The following is a 20,694-nucleotide window of genomic DNA, read 5'->3' on the forward strand; positions in this document are numbered from 1 at the left end:
GCCTGGGGGTGGGGGAGGGCATGCAGAAGGGGAGACTCACCTTGTTCCTGAGATGCCTGGGGTCAGAGGCCACTGTGGAAAGAGGAAAGTGTTCAGTTGTGGAAGACTGGCATGGGGCTCTTCCCTTGTGCCTGCGCTGTGGGGCCAGCCCTGAGCCTCCTGGAGGCCCGCTCTCCCTCTGTGCGGTGAGTAGCCATTCCTCTTAGTTGGTGCTCACCCAGTCCCTCTCCATTCCCAACTCCCTCAGCCTCTCAGCACTGACAGACCCTCTCTTCAACTCCCCTTCACACTTTGTGGCCCACTCTGAGCTGCCTAGAGGCCCTCAAGAGAAAGTCATTTGTCTTTTATCTTGTTAGTTATTTGAGCATAATTGGTATTATTGTTCTGGGAAGGTGTGGTGGGTGCAAGTTTTAGAGAGCACACTCCATCAGGGTCTAGACCACCTGAAACTGAGCCTGCCGCCTGTCTTGTCACCTCCGTGGTTGGGGGAAGTCACTCAACATCTCTTGCCTCAGTTGCCTCATCTATATGATGGGAATAAAAATATCCTCTGCCTGTAAGGTTGTGGTGAAGCTATATGAGTTTACACATATGTGTGAGCACATGTATCTGTGTGTCTGTGCATATATTATTTCTATCATCTGTCATGTATTGAGCAGTTTCTATGTGTCAGGTACAGTCCTGATTGCTATATTCAATACATTTTCTCTCTCTCTATTATCATATGTATGCATGCCATAGTTCTATATAAGTGCTACAGGTATAGTTCTAAGAGCTATCCATACAAATATAGTGTATTTATTTATCGCACTTATAGAACTATACCCAGCACATAATAGGAACTATTCAGCACATGATAGATATTATAAATTATTATTGTTATATTATCATCAAACTGGAGAGAAATATGACATTCTCCAGACAAGGCTCTGCCCTTTTGGCTTGGAATGAGCATCAGGACTCCCTGGAATTGCATGAAGAAGCAGAGTTTGGTCTAGAGTTTGGACTCTGGAGAAGACTGTTTGGTGATTGACTATAAGATTTCAGGCAAGTCATTTAAGGTGTCTATGCCTTGGTTTCCTCATCTGTAAAATGGGAGTAGTAACAGCGCATACCTCAAAGGGGCTTGTAAGAGTGAATGAGTTCACATGTCTCAGAGGGGTGCTATAGAACCAAGAATGAGGCACAAACACAATTCACTTGACTTTATATAAGAAAAATTAGAAAACCAGAGAGGGAAGCACACTGGCTAAAATCACGCAGCACTTTTTATGAAGCAGAGGTAGAAAGAAAAGCCTGCCGTGAAGGACTTTGTTCCTCTTTCCTGCTCCGAGTAAGGAGGCAGCCGGGCTGGGATTCCCTCATTTCAAACCACCGACTGTGAGTGAGGGTTGATGACATAGCCAGACCTCCAGCATGTAGTCATCGTCACAGCTGCTCAACCCTCTGCAGTTTCGACAGCATTTCCACACCTATTTTCTCATTTAGTCCCCACAGTTACCCCATGAAACAGCATGGTAGCTGTAATAATGTGCCCCCAAAGATGTCACGCCCTAATTGCTGCAACCTGTGACTATATTACCCTAAGTGGAAAAGAGGACCTTTCAGATGTGATTAGGATTACAGACCCTGAGATAGGGAGATTATTCTGGGTTATCCAGATGGGCCCAATATACTCATATGATTCTCTAAAACCCAAGGACTTTTCTCAGGTGAGGTCAGAAGGAGGCCTGTCTATGGAAGAATGATTAGAGAAATGTGACTTTGCTGGCTTTGGGAAAGGAAGGGGACATGGGTGCAGGAAAGTGGATGGGCCTCCAGGGAGGAACACAGCCCTGCCAACACCATGATTTTAGCCCAGTGAGACCGGCGTCAGACTTCTGACCCACAGAGCTGTAAGATGATAAATTTGTACTGCTTCATCCCCCCAAATTTATGGTCATTTGTCACAGCAGCAATCAGAAACTAGTACAGGTAGGTAGGTGCTATCAACTAAATATTTGTGTTGCTCTCCAAATGTATGGGTTAAAACCTAATCCCCAATGTGATGGCATTTGGAGGTGGAGCCTTTGGGTGACAATTATGTCATGATGATTATCATGATGAGACATGAAAGATGATCTCTCCCTCTCTCTCTGCTGTGTGGGGGATACAGCAAGGAGTCATCTGTCTGGAAAATGGGAATAGGGCCCTCACTAAGAACCTGACCATGCTGGCACCTTGATCTTGGATTTCCAGCCTCCAGAATTGTGAGAAATAGATATTAGTTCTTTAAGTCACCTAGTTTATGGTACTCTGTTACAGGAGCCAGAACTGACTAAGACAGTAGGGAAGTAGTCACAGTTTATGGATAGGGATATGGAAGGTCTGAGAGGTTAAGCGAATGCCCAAAAAGATAGTTTTGTTATTCAGGTTATACTGGGGCCCTCTGCAGAGAATAGGGAAAGGAGAGTGCAGGGGAGGCTTGGATTCACCTGAAGCAGCATAGGCACACATAAAGAAGCCCCATGACCCAGTGGGAGGGGCGGCTCTATGCCTGTCTGGCTCAGATCTGCTGAGTGGGTAGAAACTGAGCTATACTGTCTAAGTTGAGGGTGGGCCAGAACAGAGACATCCTTGGGTCTTACCTGCATGTTTCTTTTTCTCTTGGATGATCCGTACTTCTGAGTAAACCACATTTTCTCCTCTAGGATTTGCTTAGAAAAAAGTTGAAGTTTCAGAGGATGCTGAGGTTCTTGCCTCTTGTTAGAGATACTTCCTCCTCCCCCAGCCAGAGTCTCTTTTCTGGAAGGACTAGAGCCCTCTAGGCCTCGGCATAGTCCCTCCCCATCTCCTGCCCCACCGCTTTCCCACACCAGCCCTCCAGCTTCTGCCAAATGCAGGATCCTCGGGCCTCACCATTAGTGTACACTGGTTGCAGCTCTTCCCAGGCTGGTACATTGTGATAGGTGGGCTCTTGGGAGTCCGAGTCTGAAGGGCTCCTGTGAGACAGAGAAATGTGAATGTTTCTTAGGAATCCAGACAAAGTAGCTATAATGATCACTCCTAGTGAGTGACTTCTTACTGCAGGGTGGCTGCCAGGCCTGGAAACATGAACAAGTACATAACAAACTGACCATGGGCATTCTATTATGAATCATAATCATATTATATATGTTTCCAGGCTTTCTGGTCATCTAGTGTGTAACAGGCATGGTGCTGATGCTTACAGCAATACGTTGTTAGTTCTATTTCATCCTCGTTTTAGCTGAAACAAACGGAGGCTCCAATAAGTGACTTATGAAGATCATGTAACCAGAAAGGGGATGAGCCAAGGCTCAAAGCTGGCTCCGAACCCTGCATGCTCAGAGAGATCAGTGACCAGAAGGCTCCGAGGTGCTCTACATGTTTGGATGCTGCTATCGTGGGCTTGCCCAGGGATAGCTGTGAGCCTTTGTGTGGCTCCTAAAGTCAGCCTTAGGGATACAAGATGGTGGCCCCTTCTTCACAGGGACTACCTCCTGCTGGCAGAGTGACCTCTCTGGGTGGCCAAGTTGTGCGGCTCCATCTTCTCAGTTGTTATCACAAGAGGTGTTGATGAGATCAGCATCTCCAGAGATTTCTAGGTTGACTGAGCTAAGGTCATCTCAAGATATGGAAAGACTTGGTGGTCATAGTGGTCATTCAGACAACCAAGCCAACAATGGTCCAAGGATGTGGGTTAATAAATGAAAAGGCAATTAATACTTGATGAGATAACAGCCTATACAGCTAAGGGGGTGGGTGCAAAGGTCCTGGGAATTGCCTTAAGATATCCCCAGGGACGTACAACAGGTAGTGGCCACACCCCAGCTCAGCAGCACCTGGCAGAAACTGTGCTCTTGGTAATCATCAGATTCAATTCCATTTTTCCACCCTGTGGACATTTCACTAATCACACAGGAATGCAGCTCAGCTCTTACCTGGCGGGGTCAGAGGCAGGCTTTCTCCCTGTAAAGGAAAGCAGAGGAGCATTGGATTCAGGAAGATGAGACCCTCAGTGGGGCACAGCTCAGGCAAGGCTCACTTAGAAACTGCCAGGAGTTGCTGTCACTGAAGGTTGAATCCTTCTTTGTTATGCCCCAGGGAGGTAGCAGATTGGGCAAAAACTACTGACCCTGCCAGAGGGGTTTGCTATGATGTGAAACGGGAGTCCACAATCCGTAATCCTTTAACCTGGAGATTTTAAAGATAATCTCCAAGGCAGGAAAACAGACTTGATCAACTATAAAAATAGTGTACATTTAAAAAATCGGAAAATTACTGAATCCTATCTGGTTTCTATTTTCATTTCTATTTCTCTGAGTTTTTCTCCTCCTCTTCCCATTCGTTGGGGGGGTCTTATAAGGGTCGAGAGGAAGACACTCTGTAGTTTATGATGTTGGATAAACTACATCTCATCAAGACGTCTCCCACCTTATAGGTCTGTTTTGGAAACTGTGCATTTGGTAAAAGCAATTCGGGAGGACCCAGCGGGAAAGGAAGAGGATTGAGGGACAGAGCGGATGAGCTCTTGCGAGCCTGGGATGGTCACAAAGGCAGCATGAAGCCCAAGGGAGCGTTGCTGGGAAGGGCATGAACTCAAGCCAAGGTGTGCCCAGAGTCACCCACCTGCTTTTCTCGAGAGCCAGCAGTAGAGCAGCAGTGCCCCCGCAGCAAGGCCTGCTATGCTGAGCAGGCCCCCGGCGACTCCTGTGGCAAAAGGGCCACTTCTGTTCGCGGTCAGCCCTGAGGGGGAGACCCTGTGTGTGAGCCAGAGGAGAGGCTGTGGTCTGGAACTGCCCGCTCCCGGAAGCTGCTGCCTGGGCCTGACGGTGAACCTAGGTGAGCAGGTCCCCGGCAGCTAAGCAGGGGCTGGTGTGGCACAGAAGATGGCTCCTGTCTTTGTGAGGAAGCCGTCTCTGCGCCTGAGACAAGTGTCCAGGGTCAGGGTGGCCGGTGGCCAGTGAGAGAGGAGGCAGCCAGGTGAGGACCTCTAAAGTCAGTGGCGCTCTTGCGCCCAGCCCGCCAACCCGCGCTCTCAGCCCCAACGCCATCACTTCAGAAGCACTTCAGGAAATATAGCAGTTTAGAGAGCTGCCAGCTGTGTTACTTCGCCCTGAGGAGTGCCTTTCTGATCAAGCACTGTGAGGGTTATCAGAGGGTCCGCGGAGGAAACATTTTGTCCGCATCTGTGGCCCGGGCACGGGAAACTTACCTGTGATATAAAGTGTCACTGTCTCACTGCGCTGGGCCCCGAGGCCATTGTCGGCCTCACAGGAGTAGTTTCCAGAGTGCTCTGCAGTCAGAGAGAGGTTTAAGGACGCTCCTCCAGAGGGGGACGACCTATTTCCTAGGGTGACATCCTCATGAAAAAACCGGTACAGGATCAGGGGAGAGCCTCTCAGGGCCTCACAGTGAAGCTCCAGCAGGTCCCCCACCGCAGCATGGGTCCCGGGAGCCCTGAGGGTGAGGACCGGGCGAGACACCGGAACTGAAAGAGAACAAAAAGTCAACAGCAGTTTCTGCTTCTAACATATTTGTAAGAAACAAAAGGTATCATAAACAAATGTAAAAAGTCATATCTCAATCTTGGAAAGTAGATTAAAACATAGATGATAAAGCTAATTACTTTGACCTGCTAATAGTTTTCAGTGTACAAAAATATCCAATAGAAAACTGTAAAAAGTGTATAAATCACTGAAAACTTCAAATAGACAATAAATATATACAGAGATTCTCATCTTCATTACTAATTAACTAAACACAAAGACAACCATACAATACTATTCTTTTTTCTATTTTTCAGGTTGGCAAAGCTTAAATAGACTGATCATACTGATTAGCTTGTAGATAAACAGGCACCTACATATGCCCTTGGTGGTAATACAAATTTAACACACTTCCTTGAATGGCAACTTGGCAATATCTACAAAATTTAAAGTGCACATAAACTTTGACCCAACAAATCTGCTTCTAGTGGGCCAGGTGTAGTGGCTCACACCTATAATCCCAGCGATTTGGGAGTATGAGGCAGGAGGATTACTTGAGCCCAGGAGTTCAAGTCCTACTTCTAGGGCCATCTCCTTTAGGGATACTGACATAAAATATGCCAATATATTTCTACAAGAATTTCTATTGTAGCATTTTTACAAGAGCTAAAAATTAGAGACAACCTACTGGATTGGGTAATGAAACATGAATGATATCCAAGATGCATTTCTTAAACAAAAGTCAGGATGTATTTTAAGTTAAAAAATGCAACTGGCATAACTATATGTGTAATATTATTCTAGCTTTCTAAAAATTATCTACCTTTAGGTTTGTAGATTATTTCTAGAAGCATACACATGAAACAATTAACAGTGGTTATGTCTGGAGAATATGTGCGTAAGAAGTGATATGAGCAGGTAGAAAGAGACCTTTACTTTTCAATATTGGCCCTTTTGTATTATTTGATTTTTTTCATCACAAACATTCATGTGTTCTTTCAGAATAACAAATTACTAAAAACTAAAATGTTGTGTTAAAAGTGGCCACAACGGATGAGAAAATGTCATCATGTATCAGACTAATGTGAAGAGTTAGAGAGGACTGTGCTTCAACCTGGCTTTACCCTGGCTAGCTGTGTGTCTGCAAGCTAGTTACTTCACTTCTCTAAACCTCAGTCTCTTTTCCGCAAATAGGGGATACGATGGCTTAAAATTTATCCTCACAGGTTTATCTTAATAATTAAATGAGATGTTGCCTATTAAACATTTAGCACAGAGCCTGGAACCTGGTGAAGGCTCAGTGAGTGTTGATGATGATGACACTGGTTATGATGATAATAAGAAATAATATTTCCTTTTCTGGCAGCTCCTGGTCTCTATGACCTGGGTCCTAGTTTCAGGATTCAGACACAATTCATTCAGGCTGGGCAAGAAACCCTTTAGCTGTGATAACAGCAGCAGAAATAACATGCATTTGCGACAGAGAATTATAGAAATGAGGGAGTGAGGATGAGCAGAAAATCATGAAATCATAAGTATAGAATGTAGGAGGTATGATGTGTTGGCTTGCTGTATTGTGAGGAAAGATGGAGCAGCCCTCGGTCCGTGGTACATGCCTGTGTGCTGGCTCTAAGGGATAGGTGTGTAAACTGTGTGGGGAGAGCCCCTGCAAATCTCAGGAAAATTGGATGAGGTTGGTGCTGCTGGTGGGGGAAGAAGAACGAGCTGACTGAATGGGAAAACCCAAATCTGAAGTCATCACCTCCTGGATAACAATGAGATGGTTGCACTGGCTACTTTGTGAGATGCTGGATCATGGGTTAGCATGCCCAGATCAACCTGCTTATGTGACTCTGTCTATTCCTTATGATACCCAGGCACCTTGCCAAAGGGAATAAGAGCATCAGTGTATATTTTGCTTTACATGACTGGAATGGTGATTGCATACCATTGTATGGTCTCGTGTTTCTCCAGGATATATTCCAGGGGCAGGTACAACCTGCTTTTACTTTTGCATATCTCCTTCTAGGAACCTGTACGTCTGCATAATCCATATTCCCTGTCTACCAAAATCATAGAATTCTAGGACAAAGGATGATCATGATTTTCATCTAGTCTGATTTTCCCACTTTGTGGGTGTGGAAATTGAGGTCAGTATGGGAAGAGGTGCTTGGCCAATGTCATACAGCTAGTTATCTTCAGATCCAAGTCTAGAAGATTCATCTCAACACCCCTTAGCATACTTTTGCTAAACACCAGTTCTCTCTAAACAGAGGTTTCAAAGTTTGGCTTGTAGGAGGTCATCACCAAAAAGATTCAGAGCTCACTAGAAGCAGCTTTCCTTGGGTTATTACACTTAATTGAAAGAGATCAAAGAACAGCTTCGAGAATAGAGGAATTTGGGTGATGGATGTCCATTTCCATTCCATGTCATCCTGCTCCCCACTCTCTGCCCTGGTCACCTGTGTCCCTTGCTTTAAAGATCGCTGAGTGTGTCTCCTGAAGGGCTGTACACATAGCTTATGTTAACATAGGATTTTTAATGTGGAAATGTAAGGAACATTTACATCCCCAGTAATGAAAGAGACTCAAGAGTAGAGGCTTGTTAGAAGTCAATGAGAGAAGAATCCGGACAAGAAACAGCTTAATCCTTTCTACGGCAGAGAAACATATGCTCAGAATTCTTTGGTTTCATTTTCATGTAATAATTTCAGTTCAGAATATAGTTTATGTTCTAAAAAAGTCTTATTTGCATTTTTAGTGAGGTGCTTTGATCATCTTCAAGAAGACTGCTGGGAAACATCAGATTCCTGGAACCATACCACAAAGGATCCGAGACTTTCACAGGGAGGTTCTGCAGGCAGGAAGTGTGCTGGGATGCCACACAAGCAAACAGCCCTGAGGAGCTCTGTGGCTCCATTTTCAGCTGCAGGGAGAACAGGCACAGTCAGTTCTCAGATGTGCTGCTGGTGGGCAGGGCCCACTCACCTGCAACTTTCAGTGTCACCATCTCACTGCGCTGGGCCTCCAGACCATTGTCTGCCTCACAGGAGTAGATTCCAGAATGTTCTGTAGTCAGAGAGAGGTTGAAGGAGGCCCCTCCTCCAGAGGGGGCTGAGATCTTACCCAGGGTGACATCTTCATGATAAAACCAGTACAGGATTGGGGAGGAGCCTCTCAGGGCCTCACAGTGAAGCTCCAGCAGGTCCCCCACCACAGCCTGGGCCCTGGGAGCCCTGAAGGTGAGGATGGGACGAGATACTGGAACTGAGGGAGGAAAAACGTTATGTATCAGCTGCTTCTGCTAAAATATATTCCTTCATGCTAAAGACATTTCAAATGGAAGAATGTTTTTCTCAGTTTTTAATGCCCTTGTGACATTACTCAAAACTCAGCAATATTTTCAGATCTCCAGAAAGAACAACATTTGTGTAGTGCTATAAACAGCTTGGAATAGTGGAATATACAAACTCAAATGTGTTTGAAGAATGTGAAAACAAAGATTAAACTGAAACTCAGGTGTCTTAGAGGTAAAAAGACAGTTGGAGAGAGGAGAAATCAGTTCAACAGAAAATGAAGAACAGGAGAGACTTGCTGCTTACATCACCAGGGATGTAATTGCATCTGGGCTGCATCAGAAATAGGGCCCACAAGAGAATGAGTATTGTCAAGTTATTTGCTCATTTTTACATTCATTTATCCATCAAAAATTAATTGAACAAAAATTTTTTAAAAAATTGAGCAAAAATAAAAATTAATTGAGCATTTAATAAGTCCCAAGAATGGCATGACATGCTAGGGAATCAGTGATGAGAAAGACATAGTTACTGCTCTCATAGAGCCTACAATCTAGAAGGATGAGAGGCAGCAATTAAATAAAAATACAGTAAATTACAATTAAAACTTTGATAATTGATAAAGGACAGGGTACTATGAAATGTATGTGTTAGTCAAGGAAAGCTTCCCCACAAAATGATCTTTGAAATTAACATTGAAATTAACCAGTTGATGATGGAGGTGGAGAGTGCACCAGGCAGGCAAACAGTATGTGCAAACGCCCTGAGTTGGGAATAAGACTGGCACATTTGAATTTTTGAAATAAAGTAGCATCACACTGAGAAGATTCTGCAAACTACCAAGAAATAGGAGACTGGAGATCTAGGCTGGACTTCATAAGCCATGAAAGGATTTTGATCCTTCTTCACAGAGCAATGGGAAGTCTATAAGTCTATCTATGCAGGGCTGTGAGATGATCAAATTTGTCCCTTTTAAAAGACCATTTTGACCTCTGTGCATGAAATGGACTGTGGTGGAATGGAAGTGGAATTGAGGGATAGATGAGTGGCACTGCAGTAGTCAAAATGATGGTGGACTTGTCTAGATAGAGGTGGTAGAGATAGAGACCCAAGAAATATTTAGGAAGTCAAATCAACAGGACTTAATGATTAACTGGCTGTGAGGGGTGAGGAAGAGAAATGTTGAGGAAGACTCCTCTGTTCCTGCTTTGTGTATCTGTTGAGAAGAGATGTGTTTCACAGAGGTAGGAACCCTTGAAAGAGGAAGGGAATGTCAGCAGTTCAGTTTTAGAAATGCTCAGATTGATGTGCTTTTGAGATATTTGAGTGAAGGTATGTCATGTGCAGATGCTCAAGTGGGAGGTCCCTTTTAGAGATAGAAGTTTAGGAATCATTATTTATAGATGACAAGGCCATTTATACATGACATACCCAGGATCATCCAGACAAAGGATTTAGATAAGAGAAGAGGGCATAAGTCAAAGTTCTGGAACATGCCAGTGCTTAAAGGTTTTCTATAAAAGGAGGAGCCAGTAAAGAAGACTGAGAAGAAGTGGCCAGGGAGAGAAGAGAGCCAGAAGAAGATAGATTCACTGAAGGGAGGGTTTCAAGAAGGAAGAAATGGTAAACAACATGTAATATATCTGAGATGTCAAGGAAGATGAGGATTGAAAAATGGCCATTGGATTTAAAGCCTTGAAGGTCATCGGTGACCTTTGTGAGAAACATTTTGGTGGAGAGGTTGGAAAAACCTAGTAGATTAGAGCCTAGTGGATAGTGAGGACATGGAGACAGTCTGGGTAACTGACTGTTTTTGGAAGTTTAGCCATGAAGGGGTAGTGTATGGAGGTATAAGTGGGACCAAGAGAGGGTTTTCCTTGGATATGGGAGAGATATACCATGTTACGTGCCAGTGCAAAGGATCCTACAGAGACAGAGATGTTGGGGGCCACAGAAGAGAAAGGGATAATCAGTTACATAGCTTCTGAGAATGCACAAAATGATGAAATCTGGAGACCAGATGGAGATGTTCACCTATGGGGAGGGAAGTCCTCTCCTCTATATTTTAGGAAAAGGACAGATGAGTTATTGGGTGGATACAGAGCTAGACACTCAATTTGGTGGTGGGAGTGGAGGGGGTTATTGTCTAGTGGAGTAGGGAATTAGTGGAGGTATTAATGACCTGGGAGTTCTGTTGAGGTCTGAGAACAATAGTGATAGGAGGAGCTGACGCAAGCAGAAGGCCAGGGGGTGGTTGTCAGATAATAAGGGCTTAAAATTGTCCTTTTGGAGATGAAGTAGTGTATGTATGTGGGAGTGGCTGACTGGTGTGGAGAGGACAGGCCATGGTGTTAAGGGGATTATACATGTGACCATGAGAGTCATGAAATGATGGCAGATTATGGAGTATGGAGAAAGACTGAAAGTACAGTGCCAAAGCCTTCACTGAGAGTGGGCATAACTAGGAGTCTGCCTGTGACAAGGATGCATGGAAGATCTTGATGTTGCTGAATGGAACAGGAGCAGGTAAGGAGGCAGAAGAATTATGTCTTCTAACAAGGGTCTTGGGTGGGAACCCAACCCACTCTGGGACAGGGGCAGGAGAGGCTAGAGAGAAATGTGTGAGCCAATAAGAGAATTGTGTTGGCCTTTTTATTGATTGGCAGACAGAGAAAACCACAACTAAATCTCTTCCAAGGTGAAGCACACAGAACTTTATAACTTTCTTTCTTACTATCACTGTTGGCCAGAATATAGTTTGTATTTTGAAAGCCTTTACTCCTATGTTAGGGGAATTTTGGTCGTGATGGCTGGACTGCTGCTAGCAGGAAAAGTACAGCAAGGGAAGGGAAGGTGCAAGTTCCTGAACGTGTAGGATACAAAACTTAGAGATGGAGGCTGTGTAGGCACCAAGCCTGACAGGATGTCACACAGCAAATGACTCTAGAAACTGTACCTCTGATCTTGGCTACTGGTAAAGTTAGGGGAGATGGTCTTTTTATTTTTGTGCTGCTGGTTAGGTCAACTTACCTATAACACTGAGTGATATTGTGTCACTGTGCTGGGCCACTAGGCCATTGTTGGCCTCACATGAGTAGTTTCCAGAATGTTCTGCAGTCAGAGAGAGGTTGAAAGAAGCTTCTCCTCCAGAGGGGGCTGAGCTGCTCCCCAGGGTGACATCCTCATGATAAAACCAGTACAGGATTGGGGGAGAGCCTCTCGGGGCCTCACAGTGAAGCTCCAGCAGGTCCCCCACCACAGCCTGGGCCCTGGGAACCCTGAGGGTGAGGATGGGGCGAGACACTGGAACTGAGAGAGAAAATGAGTTAGGGACACATGTATTTTTAAAATTAGAAACAGCTCTTTGTCCTAGCCAGAACAATCAGACAAGAGAAAGAAATAAAGGACATCCAAATTGGTAAAGAGGAAGAAGTCAAATTGTTGCTGTTCACTGATGACATGATTGTATACCTAGGAAACCCTAAAGACTCATCCAAAAAGCTCCTAGATCTGATAAATGAGTTCAGTAAAGTTTCAGGATACAAAATCAATGTACACAAATCAGTAACACTGCTATACACCAATAGTGACCAAGCTGAGAATCAAATAAAAAATTCAAACTTGTTTATGACACCTACAAAAATAAAATACTTAGAAATACACCTTCACAAGTAAATGAAAGATATCTATAAGAAAAACTACAAAACACTGGTGTAAGAAATCGCAGATGACACAATCAAATGGAAACACATCCCATTCTCATGGATGGGTAGAATCAATATTGTGAAAATGGCCATCTACCAAAAGCAATCTATAACTTCAATGCAATTCCCATCAAAATACCACCATAATTCTTCACAGAACTAGAAAAAACAATCCTAATATTCATATGGAACAAAAAAAAGAGCCTACATAGCCAAAGCAAGACTAAGCAAAAAGAACAAATCTGGAGGCATCACATTACCTGACTTTGAACGATACTACAAGGCTATAGTTACCAGAACAGCATGGTACTGGTATAAAAACAGACAGGTAGACCAATGGAAGGAGAGAACACAGAAATAAAGCCAAATACTTACAGCCAACTGATCTTTGATAAAGGAAACAAAAATGTAAAGTGAGGAAAGAACACCCTATGCAACAAATGGTGCTGGCATCATTGACAAGCCACATGTAGAAGAATGAAACTGGATCCTCATCTCTCACCTTACACAAAAATCAACTCAAGATGGATCAAAGACATAAATCTGAGACCTAAAACCATATAAACCCTGGAATATACTTTAAAAAACTCTTCTAGACATTGGTTGGCTTAGGCAGAGTTCATGACCAAGAACCCAAAGCAAATGCAACAAAAACAATAATAAATAGATGGGTCTGAATTAAATTTAAAAGCTTCTGCACAGCAAAAGAAATAATCAGCAGAGTAAACAGACAACCCACAGAGTGGGAGAAAATATTCACAGACTATGCATCTGACATGGGACCAGTATCCAGAATCAACAAAGTACTCAAACAAATCATCAGGAAAAAACAATCACATCAAAAAGTGGGCAAAGGACATGAATAGAATATTTTCAAAAGAAGATACACAAATTGCCAGCAAACATGTAAACGTGCTCATCACTATCAAGGAAATTCAAATCAAAACCACAATGCGATACCACCTTACTCCTGCAAGAATGGTCATAATTAAAAAAACAAAAAATAATAGATGTTGGCATGAATGTGGTGTAAAGGGAACAGTTTTACACTGCTGGTGGGAATGTAAACTATTACAACCACTATGAAAACAGTATGGAGATTCCTTAAAGAACTAAAAGTAGAACTACCATTTCATCCAGCAATCCCACTACTGGGTATCTACCCAGAGGAAAAGAAGTCATTATATGAAAAAGACACTTGCACAAACGTGTTTATAGCAGCACAACTCATGATTGCAAAACTATGGAACCAGCCCAAATGCCCATCAATTAAGGGGTGGATAAAGAAAATGTGATACATACGCATGTGTGTGTGTGTGTGTGTGTACACTATGGAATACTACTCAGCCATAAAAAGGAACAAAATAATGGCATTCACAGCAACCTAGATGGAGTTGGAGACCATTATTCTAAGTAACTCAGGAATGGAAAACCAAACATTGTATGTTCTCACTTATCAGTGGGAGCTAAGCTATGAGGACGCAAAGGCCTAAGCATAATATAATAGATTCTGGGGATTCAGTGGAAGAGTGAGAGTGGGGTGATGGATAAAGTACTACACACTGGGTTCAGTGTACACTGCTCTGGCAACGAGTGCACCAAAATCTCGGAAATTACTACTAAAGAAGTTACTCATGTAACCAAACACCACCTGGTCCCCAAAACTACTGAAATTTTTTTAAAAATGAAAAACCCAGCTATTCATTTAATAAAATCAAACTTTACAGAATTATCTAAGTAAAAATAAAAAGTTTTACCATTTTCTTTATTTTTTCAGAAATTACTTCTGTTGAGTATTTGGTGACACTTTCTAGATCTTTTCTATGTATAAGTACACTCATAGACACATAAATAAATACATTAAAATCACACACGTGCATGGGATCACAATAACATACTGGTCTACAACCTGCTTTTTCCCCTTAGCTATATATTATGGGCATCTTTCTGTGGTATTACTTAAAAATCTACATCACTAACTTTTAAAACTCATCTTTATTAAAGCATAATTTACACACAATAAAGTATAACTTTTACATTTACAACTTGATAATTTTGGAAATATATTACCTGATTTTATTTTATTTTATTTTGAGTCAGAGTTTCACTCTTGTTGCCCAGGCTGGAGTGCAATGGCGCGATCTTGGCTCAGCACAACCTCCGCCATCCGGGTTGAAGCGATTCTCCTGCCTCAGCCTCCTGAATAGCTGGGATTACAGGCATGCACGACCATACCCGGCTAATTTTGTATTTTCAGTAGAGACAGGGTTTCTCCATCAGGCTGGTCTTGAACTCCCAACCTCAGGTGATCTGCCCGCCTCGGCCTCCCAAAGTGCTGGGATTACAGGCGAGAGCCACCATGCCCCACTTACCTGATTATTCTTAACAATGACAAAGTATTCCATTGTATAGATATGCTATAATACATTTAAGCATTTTCCCATTAATGGATGTTTGGGATGTTGTTGTTTCTTAAATGTCAAGTGATGCTGCATTAAGTAATTCTGTAGATATATTTTTGTATATTTACACATGCATTTCTTAGGATAAATTCTTAGACATGGAATTTCTGGGATGAAGTATACAAACATTTTAAGTAATAACATATAATGTCAAATTGTTCTTCTAAAAGACTGGACCTTTTAAAATACAAAAGTACAGGCAACAAAAGCAAATATTAGACAAATGGGATTACATCAAGCTGAAAAGAATTTGCACAGCAAAGGAAACAATTAACAGAGTAAAAAGACAACTTATAGAATGGGAGAAAATATTTGCAAAGTTTATGTCTGACAAGGTGTTAACATCCAGAATATATAAAGAGCTTAACAGGAAAAAACCAAACAAGCTGATTAAAAAATGGGCAAAAGACTTTAACAGACATTTCTCTAAAGAAGACATAAAAATGGACAACAGGTACATGAAAAAAATGGTCAATATCACTAATTATTGGGGAAATACAATTAAAACGCCAATGAAGTATAACCTCACTCCAGTTAGAATGACTGTTATCAAAAAGTCAGAAGAAAACAAGTGCTGGTTAAGTTGTGGAGAGGAAGGAACCCTTACATTGCTGGTGGCATTGTAAATTAGTACAGCCACCACAAGAAACAGCATGGAAGTTTCTCAATAAAATAAAAATAGAGCTACCATATTATCTATCAATTTCACTGCTGGGTGGATATTCAAAGGAAATAAAGTCGCTATGTTAAAGAGATATCTGCACTCTCAAGTTTATTGCAGCCCTGTTCACAATAGCCAAGATATAGAAGCAATCTAAGTGTCCCCCAGCAGATGAATAGATAAATAAAATGTGGAATATATGCACAATGGAATAGTATTCAGCCATAAAAAATAATGAAATCCTGTGATTTGCAGCAATATAAAAAGACCTGGAGGATATCATATTTAATGAAATTATCCAGGCACAGAGAGACTGATACTGCATGATTTCACTCATATTTTGAATCTAAAAAAATACAAAGTTGATACTATAGAAGCAGAGAATAGAACTGTGGTTATCAGAGACTGGGGAGGGGAGAGGGAAGAGGAGGATAGGGAGAAGTTGGTCAATGGGTATAAAGTTATAATTTGACAGGAGGAATAAATTCTGTTCTATTGGTGATGATGGTTAATGGTCAGTTATAATATATTACAAAAAAGCTAGAAGAGAGGCTTTTGAATGTTTTTATTCCAAAGAAATGATAAATGCATGAGATGATGGGTACATTAAATATCCTAATTTGATCGTTATATACCATGTATGTATATCAAAATATCAAACTGTGCTTCCATAAATATATACAATTACAATGTGTCAATTAAGACGAAAAGGTTGAACCAATTTACGCTTGTAATAATGGCGTATGAGAGTTTCTGTTTCCTCTTTCCCTGATCATTTGTGATCATATCAATGCACAGGTTTATTTTTATTATTTTTTTTTTGTCAGTCCTAACATCTATGCTTGCGCCACCCAAAGAATTCACTTGTTCTCTCCTATGTGACTCTACAGGCTACTAGTTGGTTTTCCATGGAATTTTAGTGAAGTATAAGCCATTAATGATGAGTAACTGTTGACAAAGTATTCAGAAACGATTTACAAAATGGACATTTTGAAATCTATTACTAATTTTTTAAAACAGTCCATTCTTTTTGAATTGTGAAATAACTCACAATTTACTCTGAAATAATAATAATCATGAGAAAATGATTGTTCCTTTACTTCCTCTCCTTCCTCTAACTATTTTTCTTTGTTACATTTTTTTTACATTTTCAGTGTTCATAATAGTTACTTTCTATTCTGTGACCATAATTCTCACAGTTGATTAGCCTTTGTTTCTATATCTAAATCAGTGGTTTCCAATCTTGTCTACACAATATTCTCACTTGAGGTTGTGTCAAAAAATACTGATTCTGTGGCCCCATCTGTGAGATTCTGAATTGAATTAGTCTGGAGAGGGGCTTTGACGAGTCAATGTGTGACCTTTTACAAAGGTCTTTGACGAGTCTAATATGCAGCCAGGGTTGAGAGCCAGTCATAATGCGGTTTCCTCATTATGAGTCCTTTATATTCATTTACATCTTGTTGGGCTAGATTTTGTCATTAGGTGTTTTTTCCAGAAGGCTTAGTGCATTCTCAGTTTCCTGAATCCCTGTATTTTTGACAATGTCTTTTTGAATTGATATAAAATTTTCGGTTATTATTCTTCCCTCGCAGGTCCAAGTCTGGACCTCCTCTCTCTTTGGTATTGAGTGCACTGCAAAGTCTAAGACTAACTTGATGTTTTTCTTTCTGAGACGACTGCTTTTTTCCCCATAATCATAGGCACATATATATATTTTTAACCTCAAAGTCAATAACGTCATCAACATATATGTTCTGATCTACATATTCAAGTTTTCTTTACTTCCCAACAATTTCTACTACATTTTTGAGTTTCATTTTACTCTTCGGTTCAATTTTCTGAGGGTCTCCATTTTAATTATCCACATAACTGGATACAGACAAATCCATTGTCTGATTTCCATATTATAATTTTTGCCTTTATTTCTGTATCTTTCTACTTTGCATTCTGTATTGTTTTCTCAAATTGGTTCTTCATTCAATTAATGGTTTTCAAAGATATCCAATCTATTCTTACTGCTTCAAATTGGTATTTCATTTCTAAAATAGCTTTGTTTTTTTTCCTCTTGGGCTTTGCTAGATGATTTTTTTAAATCCCCTCTTATCATCTTGTCATATCATCTGTCCACTAAATTACAAATGTTGACTGAGGACCTACTGTGTGCCAAACACTGAGTAGGCACAGGGATGTTGTGAAGACCAAGATGGATGCAGTTCTGTTCTCATGAAGCTTACATTCTACTGGCATTAAGGGTGACAGTCAAGAAACAGAAAATAAAGAGGCTTAAGATGCTGCTGAATATGAGAAGAAAGTAAAACATGGATAAAAAGATAGTAATGGGATGCAGAATGAGTGAAGTCTAGAAGCTTCCTAGTAGATTTGGCTCTGACTTTGGAGTAGTCTCAGAACATTCACATTTTAAAAATAACCTCTTTACTCAACAAGTTATGCTAGGGGCATGTCTGACACATCAGGCTCAAGATTTTTCTATCATACCATTTGGCTTCTCTGAAAAGAAAGTAAACTTTCCCCCAGTTTCTATAAACAAAGATTCAAGTAAAAACAGAAGCAACTTAGCTCCTAAAAAGACACCAAATCGTACACATACAATTTGCACACGTTTCTTGAATGTATGTCATACTTCAACAATAGTTTTTTTAAAATAATACAATAAAATGATACTGATTTTAGCAGGTTAGAAAACAAGGGATCATAAAAACTCCAGAAGTTTGAGGAGTTGGTTCCTAGGGAGCCATTTCCCCCTTTGTTCACCAGCAGCTTTCTCCAAATCTACCATAAGATTGGAAATCCTTTGGAGAATTTAAGGTCTTGACCAATATTTATCTATAAGACTGTGCTTGTAGCTAAGTTAATATGTAAATGTCAGTAGAGAAGTAGGACACGCTCCGTGCATCAAGAAAAATTGGCGTACTGTTGGAACATACAAGGAATGAGGAGAAAATACAATAAATAAATTCATTTGGTAAAAGCTGGGGAATCTACTGAGCTGTTTTAGGGGTCTGGCTGAGCCAGGACTTATGAGTACGGAAAACCCCAGCTAGTTAGTTGAGGAGGAAGCCAAGAAGGGGATTAAGTTGATTAGGGGAGGAAACTGGACAGTGCAAACAGATTTTTAAAGGAATGGGTGAGAGAGAACTCAGCCAGGGGTGGGTGACTGGCAAGAACCCAGCACTTACCAGTGACAAAAAGGCTCACCACTTCACTGCGCTGGGGACCAAAGCCATTGTCAGCTGTGCAGTAGTAATTCCCTGAATGTCCTTCAGTCAGAGAGAAGCTGAAGGACACTCTTCCCACAGAGGGTGTTGAGCTGCTCCACAGGGGCATGTCCTCATGATAAAACTGGTATAGGATTTGTGGGGAACCTCTCTGGACTTCACAGTGAAGTGTCACAGTGGCTCCTTCAAAAGTCAGGGCCTCAGCAGAGCTGAGGGTGAGGACAGGATGAGACACAGGGACTGAGGAAGAGAAAGATTGAATCAAGAGTTGCTTTTGCCTCTTACTGTAGATTTCAACACTTGGCCAGTGCAGATGCCCAGTCTCCAGTACAGGATCTCTAGACTTCACCTACCTGGAGGGCAGCCAAGCAACTTCTCAGGTTTCTGTGACCAGCCCTCCATGCTGGTCTTTCCCTATCTGTTCATCTTTCCAGGAGACCAATACTCTCTTCTTCTCTCATGGCTCCTCTTGTAGTGTGACCTGCCTCCTTTTTGCAGAGGAGATGATGCTTTCAAGGAAAAAATTCCTTGTCTTGCCACCACCAGACTCACTTGCACCGCTCCTCACTTCTTCCTGCAACCATGCAGGCTTCCCTGCAACCATGGAAGAGCCATGCCTGGCCTGCCCAAGGGGGATTTTCCTATGTCTCTTGACCTTGTGCACATCTGCCTCTGTCCTAGACATAAAGTCCTTACCTCTTTTGGCTTCTTCCAAACTACATTTTGGTGTGTTTAACTATCTCCATATAAGAAAAACTATCAGACAATTCAAAAACAACTTTATTTGTATTTGAAGTTCCTCACAGTTGGTTCCTCCACTTTTCTGTGGACAGACTTCTGGAAGAAGTGACCTACATTTATCATCTCTACTTCTTTATCTCATATCTCATATGCATATTCTGTCCATTACAACTCAGTTTTTACCCCCAATAATCTACTAAAGCTGATTTTTCATGTTTATGAATGTAGTAATGATGATAATGATAAATATAAAAAAGATATTTGTTATAATGAGATTATAGTGCCTTTAAGTTCTGGTGTGTGTATATTTGTCAGATGTAATTTGTGAATATCTATATGTATAAAGACACTAAGTTAATCATCAAAACAATTCAATGAGGTAGGTATTATTGTTGTCCCTATGTCACAGATGAAAATACTGAGGCCCCGAGTGGTTGAGTCACACAGCTAGTAAGTGAAGAGGCAGCAGTCAAACCCAGGTATTCTGGTTCTAGTCTGTGTTCTTCTGCCAAAGGGTACTTTGTGGCTAAATTCACTGGATGTGACTCAGTTTTTTTTTTTTTTTTGAGATGGAGTCTCACTGTGTCACCCAGCCTGGAATTCAGTGGCATGATCTCAGCTCACTGCAAACTTTGCCTCCCGAATTCAAGCAATTCTCCTGCATCAGCCTCCTGAGTAGCTGGCGTTACAGGCGACCGCCACCACACCTGGCTAATTTTTGTATTTTTAGTAGACACAGGATTTCACTATGTTGGCCAGGCTGGTCTCAAACTCCTGACCTCAGGTGATCCACCTGCCTCAGCCTCCCAAAGTGCTGGAATTACAGGCATGAGCCACCTCTCCTGGCCATGACTCAGTTTTTATCTTTCATCATCTCTTAGCTTTGCCTTATCCAAACTGGCTCACTATCATCTGCTTAGAACATGTTCTACCCTTGGTGACAGTGGGGCACACTCTCACAGTGAGTGCCTTTTCCCTTGGCCAGAGTCCTTCCTTCTCATGTCCCATTTCCTCTACTGGGACTAGACTGGGGGTTCTGTCCAACTGGACACTCCCTTGTTGGGCTCCCTCCTTCACGCCTGGCTGCTCCTCAAACAGGTTG

General features: G+C 41.8%; 1 protein-coding gene across 7 annotated transcripts in view, besides 2 other annotated features; it reads right to left on the reverse strand.

Moving 5' to 3' along the window:
- FCRL5 (Fc receptor like 5) overlaps window positions 1–20,694 on the reverse strand; it is a 39,139-nt gene that overhangs the window by 2,425 nt on the left and 16,020 nt on the right. For 3 of the 7 annotated variants that reach the window (XM_011510030.3, XM_011510032.3, NM_031281.3), the window contains 9 exons: window positions 18,813–19,091; window positions 11,816–12,094; window positions 8,478–8,756; window positions 5,216–5,491; window positions 4,630–4,746; window positions 3,942–3,969; window positions 2,899–2,981; window positions 2,628–2,696; window positions 41–72 (listed from right to left, as the gene is read on the reverse strand). In XM_011510030.3, the coding sequence (XP_011508332.1) occupies window positions 41–72; window positions 2,628–2,696; window positions 2,899–2,981; window positions 3,942–3,969; window positions 4,630–4,746; window positions 5,216–5,491; window positions 8,478–8,756; window positions 11,816–12,094; window positions 18,813–19,091 (1,442 nt within the window). Of the gene's footprint in view, window positions 1–40; window positions 73–2,627; window positions 2,697–2,898; window positions 2,982–3,941; window positions 3,970–4,629; window positions 4,761–5,215; window positions 5,492–8,477; window positions 8,757–11,815; window positions 12,095–16,162; window positions 18,547–18,812; window positions 19,092–20,694 lie in introns of those variants that run through there. The other 4 variants (NM_001195388.2, XM_011510031.3, XM_011510033.3 and 1 more) reach the window with 4 other exon arrangements.
- Window positions 4,249–5,448: an enhancer, noted in NCBI's record as "CDK7 strongly-dependent group 2 enhancer chr1:157489840-157491039 (GRCh37/hg19 assembly coordinates)". NCBI's record gives its function as "activates an origin of replication core promoter dependent on BRD2, BRD4, P300/CBP, MED14 and CDK7 cofactors, with strong dependence on CDK7, by STARR-seq in HCT116 cells {active_cell/tissue: HCT116}" and the evidence as "EXISTENCE:reporter gene assay evidence [ECO:0000049][PMID:35650434]".
- Window positions 8,161–8,440: an enhancer, noted in NCBI's record as "active region_1891". NCBI's record gives its function as "activates an Ori minimal core promoter by ATAC-STARR-seq in GM12878 lymphoblastoid cells {active_cell/tissue: GM12878}" and the evidence as "EXISTENCE:reporter gene assay evidence [ECO:0000049][PMID:35858748]".

This window comes from Homo sapiens, chromosome 1, assembly GCF_000001405.40.
Source record: "Homo sapiens chromosome 1, GRCh38.p14 Primary Assembly".
In the NCBI taxonomy this organism is placed as follows: Eukaryota; Metazoa; Chordata; class Mammalia; order Primates; family Hominidae; genus Homo; species Homo sapiens.